The sequence below is a fragment of the Homo sapiens genome, chromosome 4 (genome assembly GCF_000001405.40).
Source record: "Homo sapiens chromosome 4, GRCh38.p14 Primary Assembly".
Taxonomy (NCBI): domain Eukaryota; kingdom Metazoa; phylum Chordata; class Mammalia; order Primates; family Hominidae; genus Homo; species Homo sapiens.
In genome coordinates, this window is record NC_000004.12 from 24,083,091 (window position 1) to 24,098,884 (window position 15,794).

Sequence of the window (15,794 nt, forward strand, 5' to 3'; positions counted from 1 at the left end):
ATTTGAGCACACATGACTTGAGCCTGCTCTATGCCTGGAACTGTCCTAGGCCCTGAGAGAAATAGGCAAATGAGCAAGATTTAGATTCTGGCTTCCAGGGATTGATACATAGCTCTGATTCCAGACAGTGAGAAAACTACTAGAAGAGAACCATCAAATGCTTTGGCTGTCTCCCTAACTGAGCTATAGCTTTTTACAGTAGACATAAAGCCCCATGAGCATAGATTAGGCGAAGGATAAGGCAAACACCTCCGCAAGTCTCCCAAGTCCCCAGACAATCTGATGCCACCCAGATGGAAGGACCTCTCCCCAGTGCCTGTCACACCACACAACACAACTAACCACTCAGCATTCTTCAAACATAACCACACATTTACTCTTCCAGGTCCTGTTCACAAGCCTCCTTCTACTTAGAACACTTTTATACCATCTTTGCCAACCTAGAAACCTCTGATTATTTCCCCTGTGGCCAAACTCAGTGATCCTTAGGGTGAAAATGGTCAGTGAGACGTCATTCCAAGGTCTCTCCCAGCCTCTAAGCCAATGATATGTGAACCTAAGAAATATACAGAACAGTTCACCTCTGTTGAACCATGAAGCCATTCCTGATGCCCTGAGGCATAATTGGGCCTCTGAACTTCCATCCCACATGCTTCTTCTGCTACTATAGCACTAAATGCACTGGAATTGTAAATAGTTGTTTGTTAGCCATTTACTAGTTGATCCTTCCAAGTAGAATGAGTACAACTCAAGGGCAGCGTCTGCATCTTATTTCGTTTTTGTCCTGTCTAACAAACAGTCATGTGGCCATAGCTAAGTGTCAATCACTCGTCCAAGTGCATTGTGTGTGTTTCTTCATTTAGTCCTCACTACAGCCCTATGAGATAGATTACTATCATTATCCAAGTTTGCCCATGAGGGAGCTGAGACACAGCAAGTTTAAGTAACATGCTCACGGTCACACAGCTGATCAGTGGGTAACCAGCCTGGTTGTTAACCACGCTCTTATCTGTTCCTTTATGCTGCCTTTTACCTATCTTTGTACCCTCAAGGCTTGGCTCAGAGGTCCAGTATGTGGAGCTCACTAAATGCATATTAGCTGATTAAATGACCGAGCAGGTGATCAATCAGTACTGGTTAGTCCTGGCTAGACCCTCCTGCAAAGTTCTAGGCTATAGAAGTTAGGGATAATAAGCAGATTTGGAGAAGGTTCAGAAAAACTCAAGAAGACAGAAATGAAGAATTATACCTATGGATTTAGGTTGCTTAGCCTTGAGAGCAACAGCCGCAGGCTGGTTTCATAATGATCATCAAGAAAGGAAGGCTGATTCGTGAAGACAGTGACTGAGCTGTTTTTCTCCACCTCCGGGGAGGAGAAAGGAGCAGAACTGTGCCTAAGCTGCAATGGGCAGAGTTTAAATCCACTACAAGGAAGAATTTCCTTGGCCTAAGTGTCATTTGTTAGACCTAGGAATGAGTTATAGAGAGAGGCTACATTAGGTTATCTGTCTTCAGCCTTTTGGACTTGCTTCTGCTCAGAGTGAGGAACATGTAGAATGAAAACAAACAATACAAGGTCTCTCCCAGCCTTATGAATCTGATATTTGAATCTAAGAAATACATCAAACATTTCGTCCTCCTTGATTCAACAAATGAAAAAAATGAATTGATGAATGAACGTGTCCCACATTTAAAAGGCAATAACAAAAAATTACAACCAGCTATAAGAAAAAGGGTCTTCTTAGGAGATACTTTTGTGCTAGAGATGTAACAATAGAAGAAAAACAGAACTTATTTCAGTTCTTCTATGGCGTCTGTGATCCAACTCTCTCTTGCTAGGTCCATCATCCTCTTGACATAAAATTAGAAAAGGTCAGTCTACATCCTCAGGTGCTGGTTTTGACCCATCATCACCATTTACTCACTTGATGGATGACAGTATCTTGATACATATTTCTTTAAACATGAAGTAAACTCAAAATATGAACCACTATTTCATCAATGTCCAATCTAAAGCACTTTAAACATAAAGAAACAAATCCTTCCCTGAGAACAGGAAACAACATCAAACCTACTTATTTTTTTTTTCCTACATGAAAACTGAAATGTGAAATAGTAATGGAATTGAAAGAGAAGGTAGAGAGTACACAAATCTATATCCATATTTGGTACATTTCAAAACCATGATTCGGCTTTATTTTCTGTTAATGACAATAAAACCTTGCACTTGTAGAATGCTTTACAGTAATAAAAGTTATTTAAAACAAACATTATTTCACTGAACTTGTATCTGAAAGGTAAGTATCTTCCTTTTCATCTTATAGAGGCAGAAACAGCTCAGAGAAATAAGGGACTTGATTGAGGTCACACTGATAGGCCTTCAGCCAGGCCTTCTCACTTCTAGATTGACCATTTCAGGTACACCTGTGTTGGGTGCCTGGTGAGCACCCAGTACACCTTACCATGTACTGCCTCTATTGAGAGCTGTGGAGTGGCCCTATAAAACCTTGAGAAATTCAGCTGGTCTAATAATCTTGGGAGACCTGGCATAAGAGAAACTGCTCTATCTGTTCTGAGTACAGAATACCCACTATCAGTGAGAGCCTGCATTCTAACTCAGGCTTTCCCTGCTTGCAAAATTATCTCCTCATGAAAAACCTGGCTCAGATGCCATCTACTCTGTGAAATTGTCCCTATTCCCCTCGCTCCAGGTAGAGGGACATAATCCTATAAGCTCTGGATCCAGGCTGCTTGGGTCTCAGTCTCATGTAATAATTAAGTGACCTTACCCTCTGTTAGCCAGCCTCATCTACCAAATAGGAATACAACTAATATCCCCCTCATTCAGAGGTGGTAAGGAGTCAATGATTCTGTATCAGAAAAATGCTTCCAACAGCTCTTGGCACAGAGTAAGCTCTGTGTTTGTTAACTATCATTGTTAACTGTTCCTGAAATTACTGTCATTGGTAACTATTCCTGAAATTATTACCTTCTCTGAGTCTTCACAGGGCTTTGTTTATCCTCCTGATGTATGACTCATATTTTTTATAACTATTCTCCATGATTTGGTTAGTTATTATCCACCCCATCATCAGCCCAGAGACCTCAGTTTCTCTTCCAACAATCTCTTTTCAGATCTCTTTTCAGATGGAGGCACTGATACCCACTTATATCTACTGCCAGCTGAAGCTGGCTTGGCTCTGCAAGGTTTTTCTCCTCCTGCCTCTTTAGACTTATGTACCACCATTCCTGCCTCACCCTGAATGGCTGGTGTCACATCCAACTGCATGTTCCTCAACACACACTTCAACACTGCTCTCTTTCCTATGTCTGACATAGGCTCTCTTTTGCCTTGAATTGTCTTCCCAGTTCTTTGGCTTAACTCCTTTTCTTCGTTTAAGAATTAGCTCCAGTATTGCCTCCTCCATGCAACTCCCAAGATAGATTAGAGGCCTACCTACAGTGCTCCCATGATACATGGAGCATTTTGTGGTTGTCCTATCATTATAATGACCTGCCGTGCTCTCCCACCATGACCTTGCGTTGCAGGGCAACATCTTCAGTCACTTTCTCATCTTCTTAAGTATGGATGTGCTTTGCACATGGGGGGTATTCAAAAAAACACTGAATAGCTGGTCTCATTAAGTAGGTAATAGATAGATAATGACACATATTGTGCATTTGATGGGTCACCAAGCAGTGCTTACTGATGTGTTCTTCTAAACACTTTCAAGAATGTGATTCATTTAATCTCCATGACAATCTCATAAAGACGCTACTATAATTATCCCCATTTTATAGCTGAGAAAACTGAAGCAAAGTGAGATTTAAAAACTTTACCAATGTTACACAGTTAGGAATTAAGGACACCAAGGTTAGAACTCAGAAGTCTGTCTCAAGATCAACACGTTCTTGACCCATATGCTATAATACCTGCTCAAAAAGGGGTATCATAATAGTAAAGATACCTCAACAGACACAGACAATATGTTCCAGTTCCAATTTTACAGATGAGAAAGTAGCAGAAGAAAGTTTATGGAGAAGCAGTCCAGGGGAAAAAAGGTAGAAAGCTGAACTGGAAGATGATAACCATTGCTCCTCACTAGCCAGCGCTGGAACTTGGGCCAATCTCTTATTCTCCCTCTTGATGTAAAATCGAAGGCTTAGGAACCTGTCTCTGCTTCCTTCCAGATCAAATATCCAATTTCACTTAGTTTTGACAAACATTCATCCAGGGCTTATTGCGCACCAGGCTCCGTGATACACCTTGATCCTTGAGGAGTTCATCTTCTTGTGGGGAGACAGGCACAGATAGACAGTATTTCTAGACCAGTTCAAAATGGCCACAGTGTGGTGACATGGGTTGTTTTAAAGGAAACCATCCTATTATAAATCATTATCCAGACATGAGTCCTTGGCCCCTCCATAATATCTTCAATCTAACAACTGGCCAAAACAATGACGTGTCACGAAGGATACATCCCATCTTCCCTCCAAGTCCTCATGCAAGCGTAATCACCTCGGTTTACAAGTGAAGAAGCCAGTGATCAGGCTAAGTTTGCCCATGGTCATACAGCTCCCTGGTGGCATAAGCCACTGCCATCTCTGTCCCTGAGTGCTCTCCCAGAGCTGAAGTGGGCTATGGGGGACAGGGGCATTAACTGTGCTACAGCTGCTGTTGGTTTTCCAGGATGGTTATATGCTTAAATGGATTTTCAGATTTACAGTTGATTCTAGAAATTGCATCTAGTTCATTTCCAACTCCATAAGTAAAAGCTGGTTCACTTAAGGCAAACAGCATCCAATTAAAATACATTCTGTAGAAGTGAGTGAGCAAGGCATTTTGCCCAACTCTTGACTTATTAAAAAAAGAAAATCCTTTCGGGGAAGTTTTCAAAGAGCAATCCCATCACATTATTGTGAGATGAAAGAGTTAAAGTATGAATGATAAAATATAATGTGAAAATATACTCTGAGGCCAGGTGTGGTGGTTCACACCTGTAATCCCAGCATTTTGGGAGGCCGAGGCAAGAGGATCACTTGAGCCCAGGAGTTCAAGATTAGTCGAGGCAACATAGAGAGATCCCAATATACAACAAATAAAAGACTTTAAAAATTAGCCAGATGTGAGGTGTACACCTGTAGTCCCAACTACTCAGGAGGCTGAAGTGGGAGGATCACTTGAGCCCAGGAGGTAGAGGCTGCAGTGAGCCATGATTGTGTCACTGCACTCCAGCCTGGGAGACAGAGGACAGAGGGAGATGCTATCTAAAAAAAAAGAAAGAAGAAGGAAGAAGGAAGAAAGAAGAAGGAAAAAAGGAAGCAGAAGAAGAAGAGGAGGAAACAAAGAAAATATACTCTGAGAAGCAGCCTTGTCATAAGGCGGGTACAGGTTTCAAGGTCAAGCCAAATGGGTCCATATCCCCATTGTGACTATGTGACTGTGGGCATGTTCCTTAACACCACTTTGCCTCTGTTTCCCTATTGGTACAAAATAAATAAATAATATCTGTCTGCCAGAGTACTTGTAAGAATTATAAGTTTAGTTTAGTGTCTGGCATAGAGTAAGGGTTAAAAAAATAAACTATTAAAAAACATTTTATTAAAGTCTTAATGATTCAGAGATTGATTATTTCATTAGAAGATCATCATGCTTTTTCCCTTTCTTACTGCCTGCCCACATCACAGCTGCTTGTAAGTTATTATTCCATGGGATAAATAATGAGATAAAATTTAATTCAGATGGCATAGCAACAAAAGTGGGAATAGGATAGGCATTGGAGTCAAACAGGCATGAACTGAGACCCTGAATGGCTTTGGGCAGGTTATGTAACCTCTCTGAGCCTTGCTATTTACATCTGTAAAATGGGGATAATCATATCTACCTTCTAGACTTCTGACAAGGATTGAAATATGTGTGTATGTGTGTTTGTTCACTCTCTCACACACATACAACTCCTAGCACTATGGTGGGAAAATAGTAGGTAAGTAGAAAAGTACTGAATCAGTTCCAGTAAGAAATATAGTACTCAGCTAAACTAAAGCTTCAGCATCCATCACAATTCATTCTTAAACAATCTTTACTTCCTCAGCTGCATTACTACCATGGATGGCCAAAAGAAGTCACCCTCGCCACAAAGGCCTTGCATCTGAGGCCATCAGATTTAGTTTCCTCCCTTAGGGACAGCCTTGGTGTCAACTGAAGTAGGTGACTCCAGGCTTATGGGGACCCAGCCTAGCGATACAAATGAATGGGGGCAGCAGGCAGACCTCTTGGGGATGTTCAAGAGGTACAGAAGCAGATGATGCTGTAGCTGACACCCTATGACATACTTTCCACCCAATGCCAAGAGTCAGTGAAACCAAATCAGAGACTAGACTAGGATGCCTTTTTCTTTTCTTTTCTTTTCTTTTCTTTTCTTTCTTTTTTTTTTTTTTGAGACGGAGTCTTGCTCTATCACCCAGGCTGGAGTGCAGTGGCGCGATCTCGGCTCACTGCAAGCTCCGCCTCCCGGGTTCACGCCATTCTCGTGTCTCAGCCTCCCGAGTAGCTGGGACTACAGGCGCCCGCCGCCACGCCCGGCTAATTTTTTTTGTATTTTTGGTAGAGACGGGGTTTCACCGTGTTAGCCAGGATGGTCTCGATCTCCTGACCTCAATCTGCCTGCCTCGGCCTCCCAAAGTGCTGGGATTACAGGCGTGAGCCACCGTGCGCGGCCTAGGACGCCTTTTTTCTAACCACTACCTCCACTAGCTAGAAGGGGGAGCTCCAGCTATCACAATGGAAATGACAGGGGTCGATCAGCTGTACAGGATCACATCTTTGGAAGCAAACAGCACAGGCAATATTTTCATTAGAAGCCTTTTGGTAAATTAATAAGCTAAAGGGTCACGGGATGCTGACAGTGATATGACACATGCATTTTTACATAAACATTTGGACTTCATGTTTCTAGTTTAAACATTTTATCCACAGAGATGTCTGAGTCATCTCCTCACAGTCTTCCTCCCTTCACTCTCCTTTGAAATAAAGACTATATAAAATGACAACTTTCTAAAGGAAAACATGCAAACGAAAGACAAAAATCCAAAAGTCACATTAACATACCATAAAATATTTGAATATCTGTTTGGACCCCTGGAGACCCACCACATGTCATCCTGAAAGTAGCATGCAGAGATTTATTTTGTATCCTTTTCTACTTCCTGAATAATGCTCCCACTCAAAGTGAAAGGATTCCAATTTCATGGCAGGCTAGAGGGTGTTTTTTTCTGAAGCTCCTTACTTAACATCACATTGCATACAACAAAACATACCAGTCAATACCAGTATTATATTTCACTAAAATTTCTGTTGAAGAAGAAATCTTCAGAAAAGGCTCCTTCTTTTTATAAAAGAATTTTTTTAATTGACATTAAAAATCAACTCATTCTGAATTACCATTTTTATATGAAAGTTTCTGCTATAGACAAAATGGAAAATCAGAGTTTCACTTTATCCAACATCATCCCTAAGAAATGCTTCATACACAGAAGTGTTCTTTTTTCCATACGCCAGCAGCATTATTAAAAAAGAAACAGAAAAAAAGCTCTGGCATCAGTCTTCAATATTGTTGTCTAATTAAATGGCAACGCAGTGGATGCGTAAAAATATGCATTAGAGGTGTGTAATGTGTAATGTGAAGAAGAGTAATCCAAGCCATTCAACAGGATTTAGGAAGGGATTTCAGCTGGCAGCTTACGAGACAGGAGCATATAATTTTGCTAATTTGAAATAGGTATTGTAACGTATAAACATTACTGCTTTGCACATTTTAATGAAAACTGCTTCTACACCAAAATGAATCCTTTAGCTTGAACTCTCTGCATACCACAGAGCTTCTACCTATTATGAGTTCAGCATAAATAAGGAAGGCACGCAAGCTGCATTAAAAGAATGGTCACCTCATTAAAAATAGGTTAAAACCAAGCCCCTATTCTAAGCTACCATAACACCATAAAGTAAGTCTGATGACAGGTGTTGTATTAAATTTTTATATCGCAATGAACTTATACTCACACAAACCAAATCTGCATGTTTCCCTTGATATACACCTGCAACTTGTTAATTCAAGAAACTTTATTAAGAAAGCATAAATTTAGCAACACCTATAGATTTGTAAAGCCCTATTAGCTTGCTTGACAATCTAGAGTAAATGTATTTGGGGTCTTACTTGCATGGTTTGCAAAGACGTGGACACTACCCATGACTTTTTTCAAAAGGACGTGCTTGCAGATAGCACAGTTCCACAAATTGATGTACGCATATTACCTAGACTTGGAGCCAAAAGAGTTGAGAGAGATTTGGGTCCTGTGTGGAGCTGAGGACATCACTTACCTGCCAGCCTGCTTCTCGCTGAAGTACTTTTTTCCAGTCTTCTTCCAGCCTTGGGGAGGTCTCATCCATTGCTGATGCTGCTTGCACAAACTGGATTCGCCAGCGGCTGTTACTCTCTCTCCTTGCAAGCTTTTACCAAAGCAGCAGCCAGGGCAGTCCAGGGGCAGACTGTCATGGAGAAAATGCCATGCCAGAGGATGAGGGATCGGGCAGGAAGAACCCACCGGGGAACAAATTTGGGACACATGGGGCTACCCAGACAGATGCCAACTGGCCAAGCTGAAGGCCAGCTCAGCCATCAAGCGTCCAGAGATTAGGAACAACCAAGCTCCAGGGCCGGTGGACAATGGGTCATTCTTATGCTTGTGGTGTAAAGGTCAGAAGAGGGAAGTGTGCAGGCTTGCTCTATGCTTGAGAAATATGCATTTCTATGTGTGCTCCCGTCTTCTCCTTGCCCCAATACACACACACACACACACACACACATATGCTCACACACACACCAGAATTTGCATTGTTCTGCCAGGTTGCATCAGTGGGCTGGTGTATCCTAGAAGAAATAAACTATTTTACATAGTAGCAACACATTTCATTTGAATACATCTCCCCCAAAAAGCAGCGTATGAATCACTCAGCAGCCAGTGAACATGAATAATAGCAAGCTCCTTTGGGTGAAAATAGACTCATTCCCATAGTTGAATTCTGAGCATCTAGAGTCCCTCCCCTTCCCCCATAAGATGTTCTGCAGGCAGGCATTTCAATCCCACCGTAGGCCTCAACCCCTTTTCTAAATCAGTATACGAAATGATCAGAGGCTTCGGTTTGAATGAACTCCTCAAACTTTAGAACTCAAACCCAGTCAATGCTTCACTAGCACTTCACATGCAGAATGATGCTGTCTCCTGATACTAAGAATTGCCCTTCACCCCTAGAGATTCTTATCTAATTGGTCTAAACTAGGACCCAAGACATTGGGAATTTTTTTAATGCTCTCCAGATGCACCCAGGATTAGAATCACAAAACTCGGTGCAGAGTATCATTTCAAATTTCTCTGATGTAATCACTCATCTGATACCTGAATCCACATGGCCCTGCCTATATCACTTAATACGGTAAATTCACTACCTCCCAAGACAGTCCTGTTCCATGGCTGGTAATTTTTGTCCCAAAATGAATTGATATCCTTCTCCCTGCAACTTCTACCCATGGATGTACTGCTTCTTAATTCCAGAAGGAATGAGACTAAAGCCCATTCTACAGAACAACCCTTCAGAGATGCAAATATAGTGGTGCCCCATGCTCCCAAACTTCTACTAAAGTGTCTAATTTCCAGATTAAATATTGTTAGGTTCTTCAGAAAATGTAAGATGGTTTCAGGTCACTTCTCCATTCTGGTTGCCAGCCTCGAAATGTATTCTACAAATTCCCGTGCTCGCAGAAGCGATCATAATATTCTTGCTATGATCTATTATTGCACACACAGCCAAACAATCACATGCCTTGTTTGAAAAATTGCCACAATATCAACCATAATCATCATAATAAGAGCAACTAACAGTTACTGAGCATGGACCTAGGTGTCCGATGCTGTGCTGAGTGCTTTACTAACCTTGTCTAGCTTACCCTTTACAAACATTCTATGAGGTTATTATTATGCTCCTGATTTACAGATAAAGAATCCAAAAGAGATGAAGACATTTGCCTTGGTGATGAGGCCAAGAGTTAGTTCAGCTATAACTCCAAGGTCTACTCAATGCTACTCGATACTCTTTCACTGATGCAGTCTCAGATCCCACTGGCTGTTTTGACAATCATACCTCATTAATACAGCACCTCGGTCAATTGTGACACTTAAGTTTGTTCTTATCTGAAGATTATATAGGAACATGCTTTGTAGGCTGTAAACTGTCATACAAACCTAACTTGCCATTATTATCCTTTTAGTAATCACAAGACTATACCTTCCACCTCATCTCTAGTAAAACAGACACATGCAAAACCCTTTACTTGCCCAGTTCCTCCCTTTTACTGAGAATATACAGATGCTTCTCAGAGGTTCTTCTGAGGTGTAAGAGAGAAAGGCCAGAAGACCAAGTTTCCAGAAAATTTCCCCAGAGACTAGTCTCAATGGAAGCCTCACCAGTCATATGGTTCTTACCCCATTTCCCTAAATCCTTATCAACAGCATCCCATAAGGACAACTGGGAGCAATTAGTTTTATCATTTGAATTGCATCATCTGCAATGTAGTTATATCTGTTCTTATGGAAGGCAGCACACGAGTGGTTCGAAGCATAGTCTTTGAAGTCAGACTTAGATTTGATTATCAGCTCCATTATTTTCTAACTCTGTGTCCCTGGGCAGGTTACTCATCTTCTCTGAGACCTGGTTTCCATGTGTGTAAAGGGGAAGTATGCGTTATAGTCTCAGGCACATTATTGTCCACCAGTATCTAGTTCCCCTCTGCTTCCAAGCCCACAGCAAGATAGCATTTCCCTAACTCCCTTAAAATCCAGCATAACCACATGCCCTTTTTTGTCCAAGGAAATGTAAGAGGGTGGGTATTAATTCCCAGGGTGGGGGAGGCTTCAATAACAGGCACTTGATTCTCAGCCCGCTCTTTCTCTATTGCGGTGACTGCAGATGCGTGTGTTGCTAAGTCATGCCTTAACACAGAGGCAGACAGGAATGCCGAGCCTGTTCTCAAGGAGAACAGGTGCCTTGGACAGTCACCTGGACCAACAACAGGCATTATGTGAACAAGAAATAAGCTTCCAGTGTTATTTGTTAAAACATAAGCTAGCCTATCCAGAGCAATACACTTTCCAATTCAGAGTTGTTCTGAAAATTAAATTTAAAAAATCTAGCTAGAACATAGATCCCAGGCATTGGGTAGTCCTGCAATATTATTTTAAATAGCTTCCATTACAGGCCCAGTCTGTTCTACCCAGACTCTCACACTTCACTATTTTCTCTTCCTTTTCCAGTCTTGATTTTTCCTGTTCATAAGATACTGCATTAAGTGTCTCAGTTTCTAAAGATGATGCAGAAATATGAATTTTAAAAAGAAAGAGCAAAGCATTCAACAATGCAGTGTGCCTTCATCTCAGAATCCAAACTCAGAATAGCATGACTTCCATGCTACCGATCACTTAGCAAGGAAATTAATGAAAGCAAAGTGAAGCATCAAATAATAAATGTAGCTCTATATGAATTCAATGCTGATAAAACAAAGTACGTGTCTCCAAATTGTAAACATAATGAGAACATACATTAATACAGGAGCTTATTAAACAGCATAGCTTTTATTCACTGTTCTTAAATCAAGCACTAAAAAAAAAAGAATAGGTTTTTTTCTTCTTTGTTGGATGTTTTAATTAAATGAAGGAGAAACTATAAAAATAAACATCAAGGAAAGTATGTATAATGACTCTGGCCAAACCACGACACTGACATTTCAAGAACTCTAAGTCTTTTATTTCAAGCTCTTGTGCTTCTTAACACCACACAAACTTGAGCTTGCTCGAGGACACTGCTGGGAGATTCTTTTTTTAAAGTATTTTCAAATGCAAGTGCTAATAACTAAATGTATGTGGGAGTCCTAACCCCCATTACTTTAGAATGTGACCCTTATTTAGAAATAGGGTCTTTTTTTTTTTTTTTTTTCTGAGACAGAGTCTCACTCTGTCACCCAGGCTGGAGTGCAGTGGCACGATCCTGGCTCACTGCAACCTGTGCCTCCCGGGTTCAAGCAATTCTCCTGCCTCAGCCTCCCGAGTAGCTGGGACTACAGGCACACACTACCATGCCGGCTAATTTTTGTATTTTTAGCAAAGGCAGGGTTTCACCATGTTGCTCAGGCAGGTCTCGAACTCCTGACCTCAAGTGATCTGCCCGCCTCAGCCTCCCAAAGTGCTGAGATTGCAGATTGCAGGCATAAGCCACCACACCCGGCCAGAGATAGAGTCTTTACAAAGGGAATAAAACTGAAATGAGGTCATTAGGGTGGGCTTTAATCCAATATGATTGATGTCCTTATAAAAAGGGGAAAATTGGGTCACAGAGACAGATGTAGACAGGGAGAAGGCCATATGAGGGTAAGGACAGATTCAGGGTGATGCATCTACAAGCCATGGATTTCCAGCAACCACCAGAACCTAGGAGAGAGGCAGTGTCCTAGTCCACTTGTGCTGCTGTAACAGAATACCTCAGTCTCAGTAATTTATGAAGAACAGAAACTTATTTCTCGCCATTCTGGAGGCTGGGATATCCAAAACCAAGGCACTGGCAGGTCCAATTGTCTGGTGAGGGCTGCTTCTCTGGAGGGTAGGAATGCTGTGTGGTCATTTGGCAAAAGGGCAAGTGACTGAACTGTGTGAAGCCACTTCTATGAGGGACTTAATCACATTCACAAGGGAGAAGCCCTCACGGCAGCCTCATCACCTCTTAAAGGCCTCACCTCTTAGTACTATCATGTTAACCACGACTGAATTTTGGAAAGGATCTATTCAAACCATAGCAGGCATGATATGGTTTGGATTTGTGTCCCCACCCAAATCTCACTTGAATTGGAGGAGGGGCCTGGTAGGAGGTGATTGGATCATGGAGGTGGATTTTCCCCTTGCTGTTCTCAGGTTAGTGGGTTCTCATGAGATCTGATGGTTTAAAAGTGTGTGGCACTTCCCTCTTCGCTTTCTCTCTCTCTCTTCCGCCACCATGCGAAGAAGGCGCTTGCTTCCCCTTGGCCTTCCACCATGATTATAAATTTCCTGGGGCCTCCTAGCAATGCTTTCTGTTAAGCCTGCATAACTGAGAGTCAATTAAACCTCTTTTCTTCATAAATTACCCAGTCTCAGTTAGTTCTTTATAGCAGTGTAAGAATGGACTAATACAAGGCATGAAATAGATTCTCTCTCAGATCCCTTGGAAGGAATCAACTCGGTCAACAAACCATGATCTTGGACTTCCAGCCTCTAGAACTGTGAGACAATACATTTCTGTTGTCAACACCATCCACTTTGTAGTACTTTGTTACCACAGCTCTAGCTGAATTAAAAAATAAAATAAATTTTGAAATAAAGTAAAAGTCATGGCAAGAATGTAATATTTAAGTAGAGTAAACTAGGTACCTTACAAAAACTTTTACTCTACCATTTCTTGCCTCAGAATAAACAACACACTTTCAGTACGTCAGGAGTGTGGGCCTGCAGTCATGCAGTTTAGCTGCTGGTACCATATGAAATTTAATGTCAAATTGATGCCAAAAAGTAATGGAAAACCTTTTCCTTACCCACTGTTTTTCCCTCCAGATAAGCAGCATATTAAGAATATGCTGACTAATAAGAAATAGAGTTTTAGAATTTGTAACATTTTCTTTATGAAAAAGTTATATATATACGAAAAACCTATACAAAGTGCATCAGTCAGTCCTCCCTGATTTAGGATAAATTCCTTTAGCTTATAGAATAAAAATGGGTTAAGCCAGGCACAGTGACTCACTCCTATAATCCCAGTGCTTTGGGAGGCTGATGTGGGAGGATTGCTTGAGCCTAAGAATTTGAGGTCACAGTAAGCTATGATGGTGCCACGGCGCTCCAGCCTGGGCGACAGAGTGAGACCCTGTCTCAACAATGGGGAAGGGAGGGAAGGTGGTTAAGACCGCATTGTAAGAATCGAGCAACTAAAAAATAGTTTTCCAGGTAAATTAAAACATGCATGCCACAATGCTAAATGCTGGTAAAAGATGGTACTTTACCCTGCTCTGTTAGATGCAAATATTCAATCTAGAGGAGAAAACAAAAAAGTCTGGGGTGAAGGGAGCAGGAGGATATTGAGAAAATTAAGTTCCGAGCCAAGGAGTCCCCAGGCATGGAAGAAATGGATGATCTTTCACCTACCCATGGGATTTTGTACACACTTGCACTTAACAGCTATGATAGAATTTTTATGAGTCCCTACTGCCCACGTTATACATTTCCACTTTAACTTCACCTCAATGAAATTTTCCTAGACATGAATAGGGTATGTTTTCCCATAGATTTTACTTCTGTTTTTGGTTTTTAGGTGGTTTTTTTTCATTAGATGCTAATAGCAAGGTATTTACCTTCAGAAATTTGCTTCACCAACAAATTCTAATCATGTATCAAACCCACACTACTGGAGGTGGCTATATATTAACTCTATAATAAAACAAATAGATCCAAAAACATTTCTGTCCTAAGAGTGATAAATCAGAAGACTATGAATTCCAGCACTGTAGTCATTGTATTTCAGAAGGTAGGGAAATAGAGTACTGGCTTCCAGTTCACTGCTGCCCTGGAACAGTGATGCTCACCATTCTCTCTGTAAAATACCTAACCTGAACTGCAGTGACACCCATGGTTTTATGGCCAATTGAACACCTGTGGCTGGTGGAGTGAAGACTTTCTGGTCTACTTGTGTCTCTTGGCTCCCACGTACTGACTTGTAGGCTTACCAAGATTCATTTGCATTTGTCCCGGTCCTGTTATTGACAATTATGCCTGTTAATATAATTACATAATTCAATTAAATAACTATATCTATAAAATATGAGTTTGGATAGAAAAAAGTTGCTGTTTTCATGAAACAAGTCAAATGATTTGGAAAGAAAAGTTACTCTTCAAAAAGTTGTTATTGGAGGGCCAGGAATCCTAAAAACCTATACAGATTCTGTACTCAGGTTGTTGGACATTGTCTTTAAATTCTTGATTCACTTTAGAGAAACTAAAACTGAAATTTGTAGAGTTACTTTAAGGCTATGGCTTACATGGGAAAAACTTCAGAATTTCTCTTTGTGGATCCATATTTAGAGAAAAGGCCTTGGCTCCACAGCAAAATAGTGGCAAATACATGTGCATTTATATGTTTTAAGCAAAAGTCAAATGTTTTGTGTCTGCATATCATTTATGATTTCCCAATTTAATCAATTTATGTGATTAACCAGTGAACTACCATTTTCAGTTGTATGGAATAAGAAAGCTTCTATTACAAAAAAGAACATAATAAACCAGGAAGGACTTTTTCTTAACCTACTCAAAATGAACAGAGATAGAAAGCAAAAGACCCAAATATTCAAACCAAGAAACAGAATCCATTTCAATACTTAAGTGTACTTATATCGCTTAAGTGAGAAATAACCTGGCTGTCACTACAAACATTATATTTTGTATGAATCTGAGCCATGTAGATGCCAATTAATTACTGCATGGCATTACTATGTCTTTCTATAACTGTGTAATAATACCAACTGACTGTGATCAGAAGGATTTAGTAGACATTTATTAATGGAAATCAGATGACTTCATCCACAGTGTCTAAATTACTTTGACATGTTTGTGCCCGAAGCAAAATAATGTAATAAAAAACAACATATAGATGAGAACCTCAATTTTTCTGT

General features: G+C 40.7%; 1 protein-coding gene across 15 annotated transcripts in view; it reads right to left on the reverse strand.

Annotated features, from left to right (window-relative positions):
• Nucleotides 1-15,794, reverse strand: part of PPARGC1A (PPARG coactivator 1 alpha) — a 680,885-nt gene that overhangs the window by 291,070 nt on the left and 374,021 nt on the right. For 7 of the 15 annotated variants that reach the window (NR_148982.2, NR_148985.2, NM_001354827.2 and 4 more), the window contains one exon: nt 8,378-8,545. The exons of the other annotated variants lie outside the window; for them this stretch is intronic. Coding sequence is in view for 5 of the 7 variants with exons in the window: in NM_001354827.2 (NP_001341756.1) it covers nt 8,378-8,446 (69 nt within the window). In the remaining 2 variants the exon portion in view is untranslated. Of the gene's footprint in view, nt 1-8,377; nt 8,546-15,794 lie in introns of those variants that run through there. 15 annotated transcript variants of the gene reach the window in all.